The sequence below is a fragment of the Homo sapiens genome, chromosome 1 (genome assembly GCF_000001405.40).
Source record: "Homo sapiens chromosome 1, GRCh38.p14 Primary Assembly".
Classification (NCBI taxonomy): domain Eukaryota; kingdom Metazoa; phylum Chordata; class Mammalia; order Primates; family Hominidae; genus Homo; species Homo sapiens.
This window is the reverse complement of record NC_000001.11, coordinates 51,374,612-51,398,019: the sequence shown is the minus strand read 5'-3', so window position 1 is coordinate 51,398,019 and position 23,408 is coordinate 51,374,612. Positions and strand designations below refer to the sequence as shown.

Here is a 23,408-nt window from a genome sequence, read left to right as displayed (position 1 = left end):
AGAATAATGTAATGAAATATTTTAACAAGCTTCCATGCATCCATTACCCAATTTCAATAGTTAGGAATGGTTTTGCAGGTTTTTGGTTTTGCTTTTTAATTTGTATTTTGAGACTTCGTTTTTGAGACCACAGTTTCATGTCTGTAGGTAAACTGAACCTATAAAGGACCAGTTAACTGAGAAGCATTTGAAGCAAAAAATTTGTCTTCTAGTACTATTAGATTAAGAATATTTCCTTTAAAATGTAATTGATTATTTTAAAGATAATAGGTTTTGTATTATTGAAAGTTGCTTCTTTTTTGTATTCAGTAAAGAGCTGCTTGGCTAAGAACTGGTGTTTTCCATTGAATAAAAACTGGACAGATACCTTCGTGACTGAATATTTTTCGTTTCCCTGGGCTGCTGGATACTCTGTTTTCCTATAGCACTTAGTTTGCAATGTGGACCCATTTGCCAAATTCTTCTAAAATTGCTGCTACTGGAATTCTTCTCCTCTCACCTTCTTATTCTAGCCTCTCATTCTCCTATCATCTAAAGAGCAAGAAAGCTAAATTAGCTCTTCTAATTTAAAAATGAATACATTCCTCTTGTCCTGTCCCCCATGAGATTTTTCTACCATTTGTTTTACTGACTTTTATTCCCAGTTTTCTAAAGGAATATTGTCCTTGCTTTACAGCTTGTAATTTCACCATTCAAAACAAAAAACCAGATTGGCAATATAATAATAGCTGCAGTTTATCTAATTTCCTCTGTGTGCCAGGGATGGTGCCAAGCTCTTTATATGCATTGTCTCATTTACTTTTCACAGTAATCCTATGAGGTTTACGTAGGTTAAGTTGAGGCCAGGTGTGGTGGCTCCCACCTCTAATTCCAGCACTTCAGGAGGCCAAGGCAGGAGGATCACTTGAGGCAAGTAGTTCACAACCAGCCTGGGCAACAAAGTGAGACACTGTCTCTACAAAAAAATTAAAATATTAGAGGTGTAATAGCATGCACCTGTAATCCCAGCTACTCGAGAGACTGAGGTGGTAGGATTGTGTGAGCTCAGGAAGTCAAGGCAGCAGTGAGCCATGATTGTACCACAGCACTCCAGCTTGGGTGACAGAGTGAGATCTTGTCTCAATTTAAAAAAAAAAAAAGATAGATTAAGTTGGTAGTAAGTTAGTAACTGGTAGAACTTGACTCAAGCCAAAATCTAAGATTTTCACCAATACAATCTGGAAATTTTTAAAAAATTGCCCTGCTAAACTCCCCAATTATCAAACTGACATAGAGTTTTGTGGCCCCTTATTCCTTCATGGGCTGCACAATCTATCCTGTTCCCCCTGCTATCCTGATGGCCTTTTAGGGTGGTTGCACAGTATATGATGAAGGACTAGAAACTAAACCTGACACACATGTGGTTATGCCCTTTCCCTTTCTCCTTGTGATGGCAAATCAAATCTGCAAGCTGTTGTTTAAAACACAGCCTGTTAGTTTTTTCTTCTCTCAAAGAGAAGAAGTAATAATACAGGTTGAGCACCCCAAATCCGAAATGTGCCAGTGAGCATTTCCTGAGTATCATGTCAGCACTCAAAAGGTTTCAGACTTTGGAGCATTTCACGTTTTCAGATTATGGATGTTCACTTGGTAAGTATAACACAAATATTCCAAAATCTGAAAAAAAACCCAACATCCAAAATACTTTTTGTCCCAAGCATTTCAGATAAGGATGCTCAGCCTGTACTTGGTGACTTGTTATGTCAGTGACCTTCTCTTACACTGGAGTTATGACTATCATATTAGGAAACATGGAAAGTTATCTCGCTATATAGACCAGTTTAAGTTTTTCTTTAATTGCTGTTTATTCTGCAGATATCTAAGTTAGTGTGCTAGTTGTATAATAGTATAATTGGCCTCAGTTAATACTATCATTACTTTTTATCATTCATAGTTTTCATTTCTAAAAACTTCATTAGTATTAATTCTTTCTGCTAGTAGTTTTAATGGACTCTCTTTTATAAAGAGAGAAGGTTAGTCCCAGTTAACATTACCTTTCTCTACAATTAATTTTTTTAACTTGGAGATTTATACATTAGCTCTGGCAGTATTATTTGACATTTATTTGTAATATCCAACTTCTTGATAATTGGAAATAGAGTCTGTAATACAAATGACATTGATAATCATGCATCAGAGTTGCATATAAATGTTCAGAAACTCTTTTCACACTCTTTTTACCTGTTTGCCAAGTCTTTCATCTAGCCCCTTAAAAAGAGCCTGGTGCCAGAAAGAGGAAACTCAGTTATCTTCCTAGATATACAATTTGTTTGACTATGATTAAAAACTAAAGTATAAAGTAGGAAGACAGTTAAAAGCCAGAATCGCTGGCATCTGGTAACATCCTCACCTTTAGCAAGATCAGTTGCTCTTGATCCCAGACTTTTACATAGCTTATTGTTGAAAGCAGGATCTTAGCAAAAAGCTATCTTTGTGTATATGTGTGTGTGTGTGTGTATGTGTGTATGTGTGTATATGTGTTTTCTCTCTGAGGGTCAGAATGCAGAATGATTTTTAGATAACAATTAGAAAATAGAAATGTAACATTTTATGATATTAAGTACTAGGATATTTGAGAATTAAAATAGTGTGTGCATTCTAAACGTAAAATGATATTCTGGAATCGAAAAAGGACATTAATGGAAAAACTGGTGAAATCTAATAAAATCTATGGTTTATAGTTTTGTACCAGTGTTCTTAGTTTTAATAGATGTACTATAATTATGTGAGATATTAACATTAGGGGAAACTGGGTGAAAAGTGCATGGGAACTCTGTACTATCTTTACAACTCTTATGTAAATGTAAATTATTCCAAGATAAAAGGTTAGTGGTGGCTGCCACCTAAAATCCCAGTGCTTTCAGAGGCCAAGGTGGGAGGATTTCTTGAGGCCAGGATTTGAGGAAAACATAGCAAGACCCTATCTATACAAATAATAACAAAAATTACCCAGGTATGGTGGCATACACCTGCGGTCCCAGCTATTCAGGAGGCTAAGGCAGGAGAGAGGCAGGAGGATCACTTGAGCCCAGGAGTTTGAGGTTACAGTAAGCTGTGATCACACCACTGCATTCCAGCTGGGGTGACAGAGCAAGACCCTGTCTCTAAAAAATAAGTAAAAAGTTAAAACAGTGTACATCTATACAACTAGCAAGATTATGAAGAAAAAAATAAACGAATATCACCAAAGTCAGGATTGTGATTATAGAGGGACACATGAAGACTTCTGAGGTATTGGCAGTTTCCTGGGAGATGACTACACAAGTGTTCACTTGATACTTACTTGTTAAACCATAGATCTGTTTCATGTACTTTTCTGAATAGATGTTATATTTCACAGTTAAGATTAGAAAATAATATGTATTATTTCCAGTTAGTAAGATTGCAGATCACTATGGGGAAACATTTGTTCCTAATGTCTATATTCCTTAATTAATTAAGAATTTGTAAAGAATATATTCTTTGGAGTGGTGATGAGGTTTCAGCTGTGAAGTGTTGCCTCTCTCATTCATGGTTTTGTATGCTTTGTTTAGGTAGAAACGTTGAAGCACAATGATCCTTTTGCTCCTGGTGGAACAGTTGTTGCAGCAAGCGATTCAGGTAAATAAATAATTTATCAACTTCATTGAACATTAAACATTTTTTTTAAGATTCTTTTTTCTTTGTCTCTAAATATATTTGTCCTGTTATTTATAGCTTTAAAATTATTGCATAATTATATCCAATAGTAATTTACCAATAATAAGCATTTGTATATCACTTTCTACTTATCTTTCATTCTTTCATTTATTATTCATGTTGAATATTACACTAGAATATGAACTCTACCCAGTATCAGTAAACCAATAAAAATGTTTTGCTTTATAAAATGCTGTGTTGCTTGGCAGCTTCAAAGTCAGCATTGACTGTTACGGATCTTGGTCTAAGTTAAAAGATTAGTGGCTTCCAGTAGAAAATGAAAATTGCTTTACAAATACAAATGGGTTCTGTTAATAATACAGAGAAAAGCTAAATGTTATTTTAGCATCCAGTCTTCATACTTCATTTATGGTATAAAATTTTTTATTTATTCTTTTAATAACTTTTTAAATAGTAATCTCATTTTAAACATAAACTGAGGACCAGAATATTAAGCAGTGTTCATCAAGATCGTACAGTTTAATAGATTTGAACCAGGTAAAGCCAAGATTCAATATTAGGTCTGACAAAAAGCTTTTTCAACAAAGTAACTCTGCTTCTTTTCTACTGTTCATTTAAAACAAAACAGATAAACAGACCAGCTATCATTTGGGATGGGAGAGCAGAAAATTTGAGGAAAGTAAACTCAAATGTGTAAATACTCTAATATTATGCTGAAAATAGATCGCTTTATTTTTCTAGGTGAATACAGAGTGAGTTGTTCAGTATACAGATGTATTAATTGTGACTAATTAAGGATTATGAACATAGAAAAAGAATAGTAGAAATGCCTTTACAGGAGCCTGGGCCCGGTGGCTCACGCCTGTAATCCCAGCATTTTGGGAAACCAAGGCAGGTAGATCACTTGAGGTCGAGACCAGCCTGGCCAACATGGTGAAACCCCGTCTCCACTAAAAATGCAAAAATTAGCCAGGTATGGTGGTGGGTGCCTATAATCCCAGCTACTTGGGAGGCTGAGGCAGGAGAATTGCCAGAAGGCGGAGGTTGCAATGAGCTGAGATTGTGCCATTGCACGCCAGCCTGGGCAACAGAGTGAGACTCTGTCTCCAAAAAAAAGGCTGGCTCTAAAAAACAGGTTGGGTTTCTTATAATGAACAAATTGTAACAAGATGAGATTTAGCAGAGTGCATTGTTTTCGGGTTGGAAATTAACTCCCAACATGAGTAGCAAGAGTGAGGAATACAAAAAGGAGATATGTAGAAAATAAGATTTAATGTAGGCTGGATATTGATTTAAATAGAAACTTAGAATGAGAGCAAGTGAGACTTCTAAAAGGCTTATTGTATTAACAGTGGTTAAATTACATATTTTTTAAGTACATGTGCTCTTTTTATACCCTCATTATTAAGCTGATTATATTGCTAGGGGTACTATAGAATTAAAAAGGATAACCTAAGAGAATAAAATGAAAGGTTAATACGTTTATGATTGCCCACACCAAGGAAATGGTAAGTGCCATAAGAGTTAATTAAACCAGCAGAGATTAAAGGAAGGGGAGATCACGTTAAGGATAAATCATTAATGATATCAAAGTGGAATGTGGCTTTTGTGGTATGCCTTGAAAGCATGGGCTAGTATTTTAGCAGGTAAATATGGAAAGAGATTATGTGGAGCAAAAAGAACAATGTGAACAAGGAATGGAGGCAGAACATATAGGGCATATTCAAGGAAAAACTAACACATTTTTGCAAGAGCTATTTCTCTTTTTTTTGCAAGATAGAGGAATAGTCAAGGCTGAAGTGGTAGGTTACAGTGTTACATTAAAGATTTCTAATACCTCTGTTGATCTTCTGCTTAAATTCCAGTTCCTAATTCATTTCCTGTAAAGTGGTAGAATAAATGATGATAATAGCCTAGGAGGGTGCAAAGATTTATCATTAATTGTAATAATAATGGCTACTATTTATTGAACACTTGCAGAGTTCCAGCAGTCAACATGCTAATCATTTTTCTCTACTTGGTCCCATTTAATTCTCACAACAACTACGTTAGATTATTTGTATTATGTTTATTATACAGACAAGGAAAATCCAGGCATGGAGAGATGAAACAGTTTTCAGAAGGTTAAAGTAGTAGTATTAGATGTATCCAATTCAAATGAGGTCTCTGGTTTTCCACCTGCCTCTTTGGTCATTCTTTCTTTAATCTCCTTTGTTGATATTTCCTCTTTTTCTCAACCTCTTAATATTGTGTTGTCCCAAGTCTTAGTCCTTGGACCTCTTTTCTTTTTTATCTGTACTCCCTTGGGGGAACTCATCTGTGGCTTCAAATACTACTGATACACTGATCTATATCTCTAGTCACATCTCTTTCCTGAACCCCAGGCTCATTTTTCCAGCTATTTATTTGGCATCTCCACTTGAATGTCTGATAGATATATCTAATGCATAAGTCTAACACAAAGCAGCTATTTTTCCTTCCTAAACCTGCTTTTCTTGGCACCTTCGACATCTTCATGGTTCATCTTTAATGTTGTCCAGGCCTAAAATCTTAGAATCATCCTTGGTTCTTCTTTTGCTCTTCCTCTGTCTCTAATCTGTCAGGAAATCTTATTGACTCTACCTTCAAATTATATCCAGTAAAAGCCTTACAGTGGCCTGCACTTTTCTAACAATATCTCATCATTATTCCCATTACTCACTCTGCTCCAGCCACACTGGTCTTCTTGCTGCTGCTCAAACAACAGACCCATGTTCTTTGGCCCTTTGCACTAGCTGTTCCCTCTTCCTGGGATGATCCTTCTCCGTATGTTCACATGATAATCTCTACTACCTCTGACAAATCTTTTATTTTATTTTATTTTATTTTATTTTATTTTATTTTATTAAAGTTTTAGGGTACATGTGCACAATGTGCAGGTTAGTTACATATGTATACATGTGCCATGCTGGTGTGCTGCACCCATTAACTCGTCATTTAGCATTAGGTATATCTCCTAATGCTATCCCTCCCCCTTCCCCCCAACCCACGAAAGGCCATGGTGTGTGATGTTCCCCTTCCTGTGTCCATGTGTTCTCATTGTTCAATTCCCACCTATGAGTGAGAACATGCGGTGTTTGGTTTTTTGTCCTTGTGATAGTTTACTGAGAATGATGATTTCCAGTTTCATCCATGTCCCTACAAAGGACATGAACTCATCATTTTTTATGGCTCCATAGTATTCCATGGTGTATATGTGCCACATTTTCTTAATCCAGTCTATCATTGATGGACATTTGGGTTGGTTCCAAGTCTTTGCTATTGTGAATAGTGCTGCAATAAATATACGTGTGCATGTGTCTTTATAGCAGCATGATTTATAGTCCTTTGGGTATATACCCAGTAATGGGATGGCTGGGTCAAATGGTATTTCTAGTTCTAGATCCCTGAGGAATTGCCACACTGAATTCCACATGGTTGAACTAGTTGACAGTCCCACCAACAGTGTAAAAATGTTCCTGTTTCTCCATATCCTCTCCAGCACCTGTTGTTTCCTGACTTTTTAATGATTGCCATTCTAACTGGTGTGAGATGGTATCTCATTGTGGTTTTGATTTGCATTTCTCTGATGGCCAGTGATGATGAGCATTTTTTCACGTGTCTGTTGGCTGCATAAATGTCTTCTTTGGAGAAGTGTCTGTTCATATCCTTCATCCACTTTTTGATGGGGTTGTTTTTTTTTTCTTGTAAATTTGTTTGAGTTCATTGTAGATTCTGGATATTAGCCCTTTGTCAGATGAGTAGGTTGCAAAAATTTTCTCCCATTTTGTAGGTTGCCTGTTCACTCTGATGGTAGTTTCTTTTGCTGTGCAGAAGCTCTTTAGTTTAATGAGATCCCATTTGTCAATTTTGGCTTCTGTTGTCATTGCTTTTGGTGTTTTAGACATGAAGTCCTTGCCCATGCCTATGTCCTGAATGGTGATGCCTAGGTTTTCTTCTAGGGTTTTTATGGTTTTAGGTCTAACGTTTAAGTCTTTAATCCATCTTGAATTAATTTTTGTATAAGGTGTAAGGAAGGGATCCAGTTTCAGCTTTCTACATATGGCTAGCCAGTTTTCCCAGCACCATTTATTAAATAGGGAATCCTTTCCTCATTGCTTGTTTTTCTCAGGTTTGTCAAAGATCAGATAGTTGTAGATATGCGGCGTTATTTCTAAGGGCTCTGTTCTGTTCCATTGATCTATATCTCTGTTTTGGTACCAGTACCATGCTGTTTTGGTTACTGTAGCCTTGTAGTATAGTTTGAAGTCAGGTATTTGATGCTGCCAGCTTTGTTCTTTTGGCTTAGGATTGACTTGGCGATGCAGGCTCTTTTTTGGTTCCATATGAATTTTAAAGTAGTTTTTTCCAATTCTGTGAAGAAAGTCATTGGTAGCTTGATGGGGATGGCATTGAATCTATAAATTACCTTGGGCAGTATGGCCATTTTCACGATATTGATTCTTCCTACCCATGAACATGGAATGTTCTTCCATTTGTTTGTATCCTCTTTTATTTCATTGAGCAGTGGTTTGTAGTTCTCCTTGAAGAGGTCCCTCATGTCCCTTGTAAGTTGGATTCCTAGGTATTTTATTCTCTTTGAAGCAATTGTGAATGAGAGTTCACTCATGATTTGGCTCTCTGTCTGTTATTGGTGTATAAGAATGCTTGTGATTTTTATACATTGATTTTGTATCCTGAGACTTTGCTGAAGTTGCTTATCAGCTTAAGGAGATTTTGGGCTGAGACAGTGGGGTTTTCTAGATATATAATCATGTCATCTGCAAACAGGGACAATTTGATTTCCTCTTTTCCTAATTGAATACCCTTTATTTCCTTCTCCTGCCTAATGGCCCTGGCCAGAACTTCCAACACTGTGTTGAATAGGAGTGGTGAGAGAGGGCATCCCTGTCTTGTGCCAGTTTTCAAGGGGAATGCTTGCAGTTTTTGCCCATTCAGTATGATATTGGCTGTGGGTTTGTCATAGATAGCTCTTATTATTTTGAGATACGTCCCATCAATACCTAATTTATTGAGAATTTTTAGCATGAAGGGTTGTTGAATTTTGTCAAAGGCCTTTTCTGCATCTATTGAGATAATCATGTGGTTTTTGTCTTTGGTTCTGTTTATATGCTGGATTACATTTATTGATTGGCATATATTGAACCAGCCTTGCATCCCAGGGATGAAGCCCACTTGATCATGGTGGATAAGCTTTTTGATGTGCTGCTGGATTCGGTTTGCCAGTATTTGATTGAGGATTTTTGCATCAATGTTCATCAAGGATATTGGTCTAAAATTCTCTTTTTTGGTTGCATCTCTGCCTGGCTTTGGTATCAGGATGATGCTGGCCTCATAAAATGAGTTAGGGAGGATTCCCTCTTTTTCTGTTGATTGGAATAGTTTCAGAAGGAATGGTACCAGTTCCTCCTTGTACCTCTGGTAGAATTCGGCTGTGAATCCATCTGGTCCTGGACTCTTTTTGGTTGGTAAGCTATTGATTATTGCCACAATTTCAGAGTCTGTTATTGGTCTATTCAGAGAGTCAACTTCTTCCTGGTTTAGTCTTGGGAGGGTGTATGTGTCGAGGAATTTATCCATTTCTTCTAGATTTTCTAGTTTATTTGCATAGAGGTGTTTGTAGTATTCTCTGATGGTAGTTTGTATTTCTGTGGGATCGGTGGTGATATCCCCTTTATCAGTTTTTATTGCGTCTATTTGATTCTTCTCTCTTTTTTTCTTTATTAGTCTTGCTAGCGGTCTATCAATTTCGTTGATCCTTTCAAAAAACCAGCTCCTGGATTCATTAATATTTTGAAGGGCTTTTTTGTCTGTTTCCTTCAGTTCTGCTCTGATTTTAGTTATTTCTTGCCTTCTGCTAGCTTTTGAATGTGTTTGCTCTTGCTTTTCTAATTCTTTTAATTGTGATGTTAGGGTGTCAATTTTGGATCTTTCCTGCTTTGTCTTGTGGGCATTTAGTGCTATAAATTTCCCTCTACACACTGCTTTGAATGTGTCCCAGAGATTCTGGTATGTTGTGTCTTTGTGCTCGTTGGTTTCAAAGAAGATCTTTATTTCTGCCTTCATTTCGTTATGTACCCAGTAGTCATTCAGGAGCAGGTTGTTCAGTTTCCATGTAGTTGAGTGGTTTTGAGTGAGTTTCTTAATCCTGAGTTCTAGTTTGATTGCACTGTGGTCTGAGAGACAGTTTGTTATAATTTCTGTTCTTTTACATTTGCTGAGGAGAGCTTTACTTCCAACTACATGGTCAATTTTGGAATAGGTGTGGTGTGGTGCTGAAAATAATGTATATTCTGTTGATTTGTGGTGGAGAGTTCTGTAGATGTCTATTAGGTCTGCTTGGTGCAGAGCTGAGTTCAATTCCTGGATATCCTTTTTAACTTTCTGTCTCATTGATCTGTCTAATGTTAACAGTGGGGTGTTAAAGTCTCCCATTATTATTGTGTGGGAGTCTAAGTCTCTTTGTAGGTCTCTAAGGACTTGCTTTATGAATCTGGGTGCTCCTGTATTGGGTGCATATATACTTAGGATAGTTAGCTCTTCTTGTTGAATTGATCCCTTTACCATTATGTAATGGCCTTCTTTGTCTCTTTTGATCTTTGTTGGTTTAAAGTCTGTTTTATCAGAGACTAAGATTGCAACCCCTGCCTTTTTTTGTTTTCCATTTGCTTGGTAGATCTTCCTCCATCCTTCTATTTTGAGCCTATGTGTGTCTCTGCACGTGAGATGGGTTTCCTGAATACAGCACACTAATGGGTCTTGACTCTTTATCCAACTTGCCAGTCTGTGTCTTTTAATTGGAGCATTTAGTCCATTTACATTTAAAGTTAATATTGTTATGTGTGAATTTGATCCTGTCGTTATGATGTTAGCTGGTGATTTTGCTCATTAGTTGATGCAGTTTCTTCCTAGTCTCGATGGTCTTTACAATTTGGCATGATTTTGCAGTGGCTGGTACTGGTTGTTCCTTTCCATGTTTAGTGCTTCCTTCAGGAGCTCTTTTAGGGCAGGTCTGGTGGTGACAAAATCTCTCAGCATTTGCTTGTCTGTAAAGTATTTTATTTCTCCTTCACTTATGAAGCTTAGTTTGGCTGGATATGAAATTCTGGGTTGAAAATTCTTTTCTTTAAGAATGTTGAACATTGGCCCCCACTCTCTTCTGGCTTGTGGAGTTTCTGCCAAGAGATCCGCTGTTAGTCTGATGGGCTTCCCTTTGTGGGTAACCCGACCTTTCTCTCTGGCTGCCCTTAACCTTTTTTCCTTCATTTCAACTTTGGTGAATCTGATAATTAAGTGTCTTGGAGTTGCTCTTCTCGAGGAGTATCTTTGTGTCGTTCTCTGTATTTCCTGAATCTGAATGTTGGCCTGCCTTGCTAGATTGGGGAAGTTCTCCTGGATAATATCCTGCAGAGTGTTTTCCAACTTGGTTCCATTCTCCCTGTCACTTTCAGGTACACCAATCAGATGTAGATTTGGTCTTTTCACATAGTCCCATATTTCTTGGAGGCTTTGTTCGTTTCTTTTTATTCTTTTTTCTCTAAACTTCCCTTCTTGCTTCATTTCATTCATTTCATCTTCCATCACTGATACCCTTTCTTCCAGTTGATCGCATTGGCTGCTGAGGCTTCTGCATTCTTCACGTAGTTCTCGACTTTTGGTCTTTGATGATGGTGATGTACAGATGAGTTTTTGGTGTGGATGTCCTTTCTGTTTGTTAGTTTTCCTTCTAACAGACAGGACCCTCAGCTGCAGGTCTGTTGGAGTTTGCTAGAGGTCCACTCCAGACCCTGTTTGCCTGGGTATCAGCAGCGGTGGCTGCAGAACAGCGGATTTTCTTGAACCGCAAATGCTGCTGACCGCTGACAAATCTTAATTCAGATATCACCTTCTCAGTGAAGCTTATTCAGGCCACTCTGTCTGACATTTACAAGTACCACTACCCAGCTCAGTGCTCCCACATTACTATTCTCTACTTTTCTTCTTTCATTGTCACTTACTTTCCATCTTATTATATAAATTACTTTACTTTTCTCTTATCTGTTTCCTTTTCATCCTATTAGAAATTAAGCTCCAGAAGGAATTGAGATCTTTGTTTTCACTGATATAACCCAAGAACCTGAAAATATGCCTGGGCGTATGTTATTGAATGAAAAAATGAGCCAGCTGCTCTTCTCAGAGAACATGTAATGGGAGTCTAGTGGGTAGACATTATTTATTTTGTTATGATAAGTAGTTTTTTTAAATTGTGGTAAAATATACATAACATAAAGTTTGGCATTTTAACCTTTTTTAAATGTACAGTTCACGAGCATTAAGTACATTCACATTGTTGTGCAATCATCACCACCATCCATCTCAAGAACTTTTTTCATATTCCAGAACTGAAATTCTGTATCCATTAAATAATAACTCCCTATCCTCCCTCTCACCAAACCCTAACAACCATCATTACTACTCTGCATACTTCATATAAGTGGAATCATAAAAAAAATTCATATTTTGGTGATTGACTTATTTCATTTACCATAATGTCCTCAAGGTTCATCCATATGGTATAATGTATTGAATTTTTTACCTTTTTCAGACTTGATAATATTCTATTATATGTATATACTGCATTTTGTTTATTTGTTCATTCATTAATGGACACTTAGTTGCCGTCACATTTTGTTTGTGTGCATAATGCTACTGTGAATGTGAGGGTACAGATATCTGAGTCCCTGCTTTCAGTTCTTTTGGGTATAATTCTAAAAGTAGAATTGCTGGATCATATGGTAATGCTGTTTTTAGTTTTTTGAGAAATGATCATACTATTCTCCACAGCAGCCATACCATTTTATACACCAGCCAACAATTCACAGTGGTTCCAGTATTTCCACATCTTTGCCAACCCTTACTACTTTCTGTTTTATAGGCATCCTAATGGGTGTGAAGTGGTATCTTATTGCTTTGATTTGTATTTCCCTAATGATTAGTATGTAGTGCCTTTTTTTATATGCTTATTGGCTATTTGTATATCTTCTATGGAGAAATACCTATTCAAGTCCTCTGCCCATTTCTAAATCAGGTTGTTTTTGTTGAATTTTTTATATATCCTAGATATTAACCCCTTATCAGATAAATGATTTGCAAATATTTTCTCCCATCCTGTGGGTTACCTTTTCATTCTGTTAGTACTGTCCGTTGGTGAACAAAAGTTTTTAATTTTGATGTAGCTCATTTTATCTATTGTGTTGTTGTTGCCTTTGCTTTTAGTGTTATAACCAAGAAAGCGTTGCTAAATCCAATATCAGGAAGCATTTCCCCGATAAGTTTTATAGTTTTAGCTCTTACATTTAGGTATTTAATCCATTTTGAGTTAATTTTTGTATATTGTGTGAGGTAAGAGTCCAACTTCATTCATTTGCATGTGGATATTCAGTTTTCCCATCATCTTTTCTTGTGAAGACCGTCCTTTTTCCATTGTTTGTTCTTGGCACGTTTCTTGAAAATCATTTGACCATATATGTGAGGGTTTATTTCTGGATTCTGTATTCTGTTCCATTGATCTATATGGTTTGTATTTATGCAGTTCCTCACTGTTTTAATTACTATAGCTTTGAAATAAGATTTGAAATCAGAAAGTTTGACTACCAACTTTGTTGTTCCTTTTTAAGACTGCTTTGGGCTGGGCACAGTGGCTCATGCATGTAATCCCAGCACTTTGGGAGGTCAAGGTGGGTGGATCGCCTGAGCTCAGGAGTTCAAGACCAGCCTGGCCAATGACTGAGTTCAGGAGTTCAAGACCAGCCTGGGCAACATAGTGAGACTCTGTCTCTACAAAAAAATGCAAAAATTAGCCAGGCATAGTGGCATGCACCTGTACTCCCAGCTACTTGGGAAGCTGAGGTGGGAGGATCACTTGAGCCGAGGAGGCAGAGATTACAGTGAGCCAAGATCATGCCACTGCACTGTAGCCTGGGTGACAGAACCAGACCCTGTCTCAAAAAAAAAAAAAAAAAAAAGAAAGAAAGAAAAAGAAAAAGACTGCTTTGGCTATTCAGGTTCCTTGAGATTCCATATGAATTTTAGGATGAATTTTTCTATTTCTGCCAAAAGAAAAAGTCATTAGGATTTTTGATAGGGATTGCATTGAATCTGTAGATATCTTTGGGTAATATTACCAACTTAAAAATATTAAGTCTTCTAATCTGTGAACATGGGATGTCTTTCCATTTGTTTGTGTCTTTAATTTCTTTCAGAATGTATTGTATTGTCAGTATACAAGTCCTCCTTGGTTAATTCCCAAGTATTTCATTCTTTTTGATGCTGTTGTAAATGGAATTGTTTTCTTAATTTCCTTTCCAGATTGTTCATTGTTGGTATATAGAAATATGACTGATTTTCATATGTTGATTTTTGTATCCTGCTACTGTGCCAAATTCAACTATTAGTTCTAATTGTTTTTTGGTGGAATCTTTAGGGTTTTCTACATATAAGAGCATGTTATTTGCAAACAGATTTTATTTCTTTGTTTTGAATCTGGATGCCTTTTATTTCTTTTTCTTGCCTAAGTGCTTTGGCTAGGACTTCCACTACTATATTGCAGGGATCCCCAAACCCTGGGCCACGGACCAGTACCAGTCTGTGGCCTGTTAGGAACCAGGCTGCACAGGAGGAGGTGAGTGATGGGCAAGTGAGCAGTACCTAATGCCTGAGCTCCGCTTCCTGTCAGATCAGCAGCAGCATTAGATTCTCATAGGAGCTTGAACCTTATTGTGAACTGCACATGTGAGGGATCTAGGTTGTGCACTCCTTATGAGAATCTAACACCTGATGATCTGAGGTGGAACAGTTTCATCCTGAAATCATTCCCCTCATCCCACCCCCAAGTCCTAAAAAAATTGTCTTCCACAAAACCGGTCCCTGGTGCCAGAAAGGTTGAGAACTGCTGCTATATTGAATAGAAGTGGTAGAAATGGTAAGAGCACGCATCCTTGTCTTGTTCCTTATTGTAGAGAAATGGTTTCAGCCTCTCAAGATTGAATGTGATATTCACTGTTGGCTTTTCATATATAGCCTTTATTAAGTTGAGGTAGTTTTCCTTCTGTTCTTAGCTTGTTGAGTGTTTTTATCATGAAAGGGTTTTGAATTCTGTCAAATACTTTTTTTGCATCCATTGAAATGATTGGTGTTGTATTTTTCCCCTCATTCTGTTAATGTGGTGTATTACATTGAATGATTTTTGTATGTTGAACCATTCTTATATTCCAGGAATAAATCCCACTTGGACATGGTGTATAATCCCTTTAATGTGCTGTTGAATTCTGTTGAGGATTTTTACAAAAATATTCATAAAGGATATTGATCTATAGTTTTCTTTTCTCATCTATATGTCTTCATCTGGCTTTGATAGCAGAGTAATACTGGCTTCACAGAATGAGTATGGAATTGTTCCTGCCTCTTCAATTTTTTGGAAGAGTTTGAGGGAGACTGGTTTTGATTATACTTTAAATGTTTGGTAGAATTCACCCGTGAAGTCATGTAATCGTGAGCTTTTCTTTGTTGGGAGGTGTTTTGTTTTGTTAATTTTAAAAATAATGGTGGCCGGGCACAGTGGCTCACGCCTGTAATCCCAGCACTTTGGGAGGCTGAGGCGGGTGGATCACTTGAGGTCAGGAGTTCAAAACCAGCCTGGCCAACATGGTGAAACCCCATCTCTACTAAAAATACAAAAATGAGCCAGGCGTGGTGGTGGGCGCCTGTCATCCCAGCTACTCAGGAGACTGAGATAGGAGAATCTCTTGAACCTGGGATGTGGAGGTTGCAGTGAGCCGAGATTACACCACTGCACTCCAGCCTGGGCCACAAAGCGAGACTCTGTCTCAAAAAAAAAAAAAAAAAAAATTAAAAATATGGAATGCCACAAGAATTTGCATGTTATCCTTGCACAGGGGCCATGCTAACCTTCCCTGTATCTTTCTAGTTTTAGTATATGTGCTGCTAAAGTGAGCACTGTTGGAAGGTTTTTGATTACAGATTCAATCTCTTTATTAGTTATGAGTCAATTCAGATTTTCTTTGTTTTTGTGATTCAGTCTCCATGACTTGTGTTTCTCAGAATTTGTTCTTCTCATTTATATTATTCAGTTTGTTGATGTATAATTGTTCATAGCACTGTGTTAACAATCCTTTTTATTTCTGTGAAATTACTAGTAATGTCTCCTCTTTCATTTCTGATTTTAGTTATTGAGTCTTGTTTTCTTAGCCCATCTAGGAATGTCAATTTTGTTGATCTTTTCAAAGAACAAACTCTTGGTTCTATTGATTTTCTCTATTTTTCTATTCTCTGTGTTGTCTCTGCTCCAATTTTTATTATTCATTTCTTTCTGCTAGCTTTGAGTTTAGCTTGCTTTTCTTTTTTTAGGTCCTTTACAGTGTAAAGTTAGGTTGTTGATTTGAGCTCTTCTTTTTTAAGTATTTATAGTTAGAAGTTTATCTCAGCACAGCTTTTGCTGCTATATCCCGTTAGTTTTGGTAATGCTGTGTTTCCATTTTCATTTGTTTCAAGATATTTTCTAATTTTCTTTGTGATTTTTCTTTGACCAATTGGTTGAGCGTGATATTTAATTTCCACCTATTTGTAGGTCGTCTAGTTTTGCTTCTGCTGTTAATTTTTAGTTTTATTCTGTTTTAATTGGAAGAGATAAATTTATTTATTATTTTTATTTTGAGATAGAGCCTCGTTCTGCCACCCAGGCTGGGGTGCAATGGCGCGATCTCAGCTCACTGCAACCTCTGCCTCCCGGGTTCAAGCAATTCTCCTGCCTCAGCCTCACAAGTAGCTGGGACTATAGGCGCCCACCACCACGCCCGTGTCATTTTTGTATTTTTAGTAGAGACGGGGTTTCACCATGTTGGCCAGGCTGGTCTCGAACTCCTGATCTCAAGGGACCTGCCCATCTCGGCCTCCCAAAGTGTTGGGATTACAGGCATGAGCCACCGCACCTGGCTGGAAGAGATATTTTTATGATTTCAATTTTTTAAAATTCATTAAGAGTTGTTCTATGGCCTAAAGTATGTTCTGTCTTGGAGAACATTAGATATGTACTTGAGAAAATGTGTATTCTGCTATTGTTGGGTGGAGTGTTCTGTATATATCTGTTAGGTCCAGTTGATCTAAAGTGTTGTTCAAGTCCTCTCTCTCCTTATTGAAAGTGAGATATTGAAGTCTCCAACTGTTACTGTAGAGCTGTCTGTTTCTCCCTTCAGTTCTGTCAGTGTTTAATGTATATATTGAAGAAGCATGTTTGGTGCATGTATGTTTATAAATGTTACATCATATTGGTAAATTGACCCTTTATTTATTGTATAATGTCCATCTTTGTCTCTTGTAACAGTTGTAGAGTTAAAGTCTATTTTTTCTGATATTAAGATATCTCTGCTTTCTTGATATTCTATTTGCATGAAATATCTTTTTTCATCTTTTCCCTTTCAAACTATGTGTGTCCTTAGATCTAAAGTGAATCTCTCTTATACAGCATGTAGTTGTGTTTTGCATTTTTTTTCTACCAGTTTGTGTCTTTTCATTAGAGAGTTTAATCCATTCACATTTAAAGTAATTACTGATAGGGAAGGACTTATTATTGTCATTTTGCTGTTTGTTTCTGTATGTCCTATAGTTTTATGTCCCTTATTTCCTCTATTACGGTCTTCATTTATGTTTAGTTGATTTTTTGTAGTGACATTTTTTATTCCCTCCTCATTTCCTTTTACTCTTTTCTCTGTGTTTCATGGAGATTACACAAAACATCCTACAATTATAACAGTCTATTTTAAACTGATAAGATTTAATTTCAGTTGGATCCAAAACCACTCCTTTACAGCTCCACTCCCCACTTTATGTGGTTGAAAGTCACAATTTACTTCTAAAGTTGAGTTGTGAGCCAGTATTATAGTAATACTATTTTTTATATTTGTCCATATGTTGATATTTACCTTTATCAGAGAAAACTTTATATTTTCATTTGGTGTCTAACATCCTTTCATTTCAACTTGAATGACTCCCTTTAGCATTTCTTTTTTTTCCTTTTTTTTTTTGAGGCAGAGTTTTGCTCTTGTTGCCCAGGCTGGAGTGCAGTGACGCAGTCTCGGCTCACTGCAACGTCTGCCTCCTGGGTTCAGGCGATTCTCCTGCTTCAGCCTCGCTAGTTGCTGGGATTACAGGCATCTACCACCATGCCCGACTAATTTTTTTTTTTTTTTTTCCTGGAAGCAGAGTCTCACTCCAGGCTGGAATGCAGTGGCAAGATCTTGGCTCACTGCATCCTCCCCCTGTCGCTTCAAGTTGTTCTCCTGCCTCAGCCTTCCAAGTAGCTGGGACTACAGGCACGCACCACCATGCCCCACTAATTTTTGTATCTTTAGCAGAGATGGAGTCTCACCGTGTTTGCCAGGCTGGTCTTGAACTCCTGACCTCAAGTGATCCGTCCACCTTGGCCTCCCAAAGTGCTGGGATTACAGGCATGAGCCACCACGCCCAGCCATGCCTCACTAATTTTTGTATTTTTAGTAGAGATGGGGTTTCACCATGTTGGCCAGGCTGGTCTCAAACTCCTGACCTTACGTGATCCACCCACCTTGGCCTCCGAAAGTGCTGGGATTACAGGCATGAGCCACTGCTCCCAGCCCCTTTAGCATTTCTTATAGAGTAGGTCTAGTGGTAATGAACCATTCAGTTTTTGTTTATCTGGGAATATCTTAATTTCTCTCTTGTTTGTGAAGGACAGTTTACCAGATACAGAATTCTCAGTTGACAGTGTTTTTTTCGAACCCTTCAATATATTCCCCTACTCCCTTCAAGGTTTCTGCTGAGAAATTCACTGATAATTTTATTGAGGATCCTGGCCAGGCACTGTGGCTCATACCTGTAATCCCAACACTGTGGGAGGCCGAGGTGGGAGGATCACTTGAGGTCAGGAGTTCGAGACTAGCCTGGCCAACATGATGAAACTCCATCTCTACTAAAAATACAAAAATTATCCGGGCGTGGTGGCTTGCGCCTGTAGTCCTAGCTACTCCAGAGGCTGAGGCGGGAGAATCACTTGAACCCGGGAGGCAGAGGTTGCAGTAAGCCAAGATGGCAGCATTGCACTCCAGACTGGGTGACAGAACGAGACTCCATCCAAAAAGAAAAAAACAATTATTGAGGATCCCTTCTGCATGATGAGTCAGTTTTCTCTCACTACTTTCACAGTGCTATCTTTGTTTCTGTCTTTCAGCAGTTTGATTATAATGTAACTCAGCATAGGACTCTTTTGAGTTTATCCTACGTGGAGTTTGTTGACCTTTTTATATATCCATGTCTTCCCTCAAAGTTGGGGAGTTTTGGCCATTATTTCTTCAAATAAGCTCTCTGCCTCTTTCTTTCCGGTATAAAGATTAGTGTGGGGGTGTCTCCATTGTTCTTTTTTTTCCCCTCAAACTTAGAGCTGGAAGAAACCTTAGACATCCTGTGGGCCAGAATTTCATATTACCTTCCACAAAACTAACTTCCAGAGAGGTCTTCAGGAAGTTGGCAAATTTTAGTTACGTATTTTTAAAGTGTCTTTGAACTTTTAAGAACTACATCTCGTTAATTATATGTATTCGTATATATTATTATCCAAATTTTAACAAATTAGAGTGCATTGGTGCTTTAAAGTGCTGTCAACTACTCTGAGAATGCAAAATTCTTGTTTTAAAATGTGTATCTTACAACTCCTTCCTTGGATGAATTAGATTTTTTTAGATGGAGAAACCAAAATCAAGTACAGCCATACCTTGGAGACATTATGGTTTGGTTTTGTTTTAGGAACCCAGGCTGGTCTTGAATTCCTGGGCTCAAGCAGTCCTCCCACCTCAGTCTCCTAAAGTGCTAGGATTACAGGTGTGAGCCGCTGCACCTGGCCCAGCATGGGTTCTTTTCCATACCACCACAATAAAGCAAATATTGCAATAAAAGAAGTCACATATAAAAGTTCTGTTTTCACTATACTCTGGTCTATTAAGTGTGCAGTAACATGTCTAAAAAATGCACGTGTCTTAATTAGAAAATGCTTCATTGCTTTAAAAAAAAAAAATGCTAATGATCGGGCACAGTGGCTCACACCTGTAATCCCAGCACTTTGGGAGGCCGGGGTGGGTGAATCACCTGAGGTCAGGAGTTCAAGACCAGCCTGCGCAACATGGTGAAACCACGTCTCTACTAAAAATACAAAAAATTAGCCAGGCGTGGTGGCGGGTGCCTGTAATCCCAGCTACTTGGGAGGCTGAGGCAGGAGAATTGCTTGAACCCAGGAGGCTGAGGTTGCAGTGAGCTGAGATAGTGCCATTACACTCCAGCCTGGGCAACAAGAGTGAAACTCCATCTCAAAAAAAAAAAAAAAAAGCTAATGATTATTTGAGCCTTCAACAAATTGTAATCTTCTTGGTGGTGGAGAATCTTGCCTCGATATTGGTGGCTGCCGACTGATCAAGGTGTTAGCTGCTGAAGGTTGGGGTGCCTGTGGCGATTTCTTAAAATAACACTGAAGTTTGTCACATCAATTGACTCTTCCTTTCCTGTACGATTTCTTTTAGCATGTGACACTGTTCGATAGCCTTTTACCCACACAAGATAGTCTTTGAAAATTGGTATCCGTCCTTTTAGATCCTGCCACTGCTTCACGAACTAAATTTATGTAATATTCTAAATCCATTGTTCTCATTTTAACAATGTTCACAGCATCTTCACCAGGAGTACATTCTATCTCAAGAAATCACTTTCTTATCTGTAGAGGCAACTCCTCTTTGGTTCCAGTTTTATCATGAGATTTCAGCAATTCAGTCACATCATCAGGCTCTACTTCTAATTGAAGTTCCCTTACTAATTTGTACCACGTCTGCAGTTACTTCCTCCACTGAAGTCTTGAATCCATCAGTAATACATGACGGTTGGATGTAACTTCTTTCAAAGTCCTCTTACTATTGCTATTTTCACCTCCTTCCATGAGTCACACTGTTTTTGTTTTGTTTTGTTTGAGACGGAGTTTCACTCTTGTTGCCCAGGCTGGAGTGCAATGGAGCTGTCTCGGCTCATTGCAACTTCCGCCTCTTGGGTTCAAATGATTTTCCTGCCTCAGCCTTCCAAGTAGCTGAGATTACGCCCGCCACCACGCTCAGCTAATTTTTTGTATTTTTAGTAGAGACAGGGTTTCACTGTGTTGGCCAGGCTGGTCTCGAACTGCTGACCTCAGGCGATCCACCCCGCCTCAGCCTCCCAAAGTGCTGGGATTACAAGCGTGAGCCACTACACCCGGCCTGAGTCACATTGTTCTTAATAGCATCTAGAATGGTGAATCCTTCCCAGGAGGTTTTCAGTGTACTTTGCCCAAATCCATCAGAGGAATGGCTGTCTATGGCAGCTATAGCCTTATAAAGTGTATTTCTTAAATAATAAAACTAGAAAGTCAAAATTACTCCTTGATTTGCAAGAATTACTGCCTGGCTGCAAGAATGGATGTTGTGTTAGCAGGCATGAAAACAACATTCATCTCCTTATACATCTTCATCAGAGCTCTGGGTGACTTAGGTGCATTGTCAGTGAGCAGATTTTTGGGTTTTTTTGTTTGTTTGTTTGTTTTGAGACAGTCTCCCTCTGTTGCCCAGGCTGGAGCACAGTGGTGCAATCTCAGCTCACCACAACCTCTGCCTCCCAGGTTCAAGCAATTCTCCTGCCTCAGCCTCCCAAGTAGCTGGGACTACAGGCACATGCCACCACACACGGCTGATTTTTGTATTTTTAGTAGAGACAGGATTTCACCATGTTGGCCAGGCTGGTCTCGAACTCCTGACCTCAAGTGATCTGCCCGCCTTGGCCTCCAAAAGTACTGGGATTACAGACGTGAGCCACAGTGCCCAGCCTAGCAGGAGTATTTTGAAAGAAATCTCTTATCTGAGCAGTGGATCCCAACAATGGGCTTAAAATATTCAGTAAAACATGCCATAAACAGCTGTGCTGTCATCCAGGCTTTGTTATTTTATTTCTACTGTCAATTTATCTTAATTCATAGGGGCCTTAGGATTTTCAGAATGGTCAATGAGCATTGGCTTCAACTTAAAAGTTGCCACAGCTGCATTAGCCCCATAGGAGACTCAACCTGTCCTTTGATGCTTCAAAGCCAGACATTGACTTCTCTTTAGCTATGACAGTTGTAGATGGCATTTTCTTCCAGTAGAAGACTGCTTTGTCTACATTGAAAATCTGTTGTTTAGTGTAGCCACCTTTATAGATCAATTATCTAAGCTAGACTTCTGGATAACTTGCTGCAACTTCTGTATCAGTACTTGCTAAGTTTGTTTTTCTTCTTTTTAAAATCCTTTTGTTTGTGAAATGAAGAATGGACTGTTTTTTTCAGTTCCTATGGTTAAGTTGGCAAACCTGTTCTTGCCCTATTTATGTATTTATGTTGGTTTGTTTGTTTTGTTTTGTTTTTAGTTACAACGTAAGTCTTTTCCTACATTGTCTTCTTAAATGTAATTCCACTTGACATGAAAACTTTTAATTATGAGAATATGGAGAAGGAGAATTAGTTATTATTATATAGGTCATTCAGGTCAGTGGTTCCTAAATATCTTTTAAACTTTATATGGGGAAAAAGAGATATGTATATAGGTTTTTAATGTATTTATTTAATTAGTTTACTTGTTCATAAAATCCCAACTTCTGGAAACTACTGAGATTCTGAGAGGTGATGTTACATACCCAAGTCACAAACACAAGACATTTACCCACCTTACTGGTACCCTTCTACCCTTATTATTTTCTTCCACTAGGTAGAATTCCACCAGGCAAAAAGATTGATCCTACGGAACAGGGGAATTGTTAAGCTTTCAAAATAAATAAAAACATGCCAGTAAATTTTTGTTCTTAAATGTTATATATAACTCTACTCCAACCTCTAAAATATACTTGTTATCATAGGGATAGAAGCATATTAAATATAGTCGGGCGCGGTGGCTCACGCCTGTAATCCCAGCAGTTTGGGAGGCCGAGGCAGGTGGATCACAAGGTCAGGAGATTGAGACCATCCTAGCTAACACAGTGAAACCCTGTCTCTACTAAAAATACAAAAAATTAGCCGGGCGTGGTGGCGGGCACCTGTAGTCCCAGCTACTTGGGAGGCTGAGGCAGGAGAATGGCGTGAACCGAGGAGGCAGAGCTTGCAGTGAGCCAAGATCGCACCACTGCACTCCAGCCTGGGCGACAGAGCAAGACTCCATCTCAAAAAAAAAAAAAAAAAAAAAAAGAAGTATATTAAATATTTTATGGCTGGGCGAGGTGGCTTACACCTGTAATTCCAGCACTTTGGGAGGCCGAGGCAGACAGGAGTTTGAGACCAGCCTGGCCAACATGGCTACTAAAAATTCAAAAATTAGCTGGGCATGGTGGCATGCACCTGTAATTCCAGCTACTTGGGAGGCTGAGGCAGGAGAATCTCTTGAACCTGAGAGATGTTGCTCGCCTGAGCAACAGAGCGAGACTCCATCTCAAAAAAGGTATGTTAAATATTTTGCCTCACATTGAGATCTTGTTAGCATTTGCTTCTGGTGAATAGACACATTGCAGACTGTGAAAGAAAACTAAGGAAAGCAAATTTAGAATTCTTACTGGGTTTTTTTGTTTGTTTGTTT

The 23,408-nt window shown here is 38.2% G+C and overlaps 1 protein-coding gene and 1 pseudogene across 8 annotated transcripts in view; one reads left to right on the top strand and one right to left on the bottom strand.

Moving 5' to 3' along the window:
* The window catches only part of EPS15 (epidermal growth factor receptor pathway substrate 15), a 165,004-nt gene that overhangs the window by 121,247 nt on the left and 20,349 nt on the right, over positions 1-23,408 (top strand). For all 8 annotated transcript variants that reach the window (XM_017000618.3, NM_001410796.1, XM_017000617.3 and 5 more), the window contains one exon: positions 3,573-3,639. In XM_017000618.3, coding sequence (XP_016856107.1) covers positions 3,573-3,639 — 67 coding nt within the window. The remainder of the gene's footprint in view (positions 1-3,572; positions 3,640-23,408) is intronic.
* RNU6-877P (RNA, U6 small nuclear 877, pseudogene) lies at positions 15,606-15,712 on the bottom strand (annotated as a pseudogene).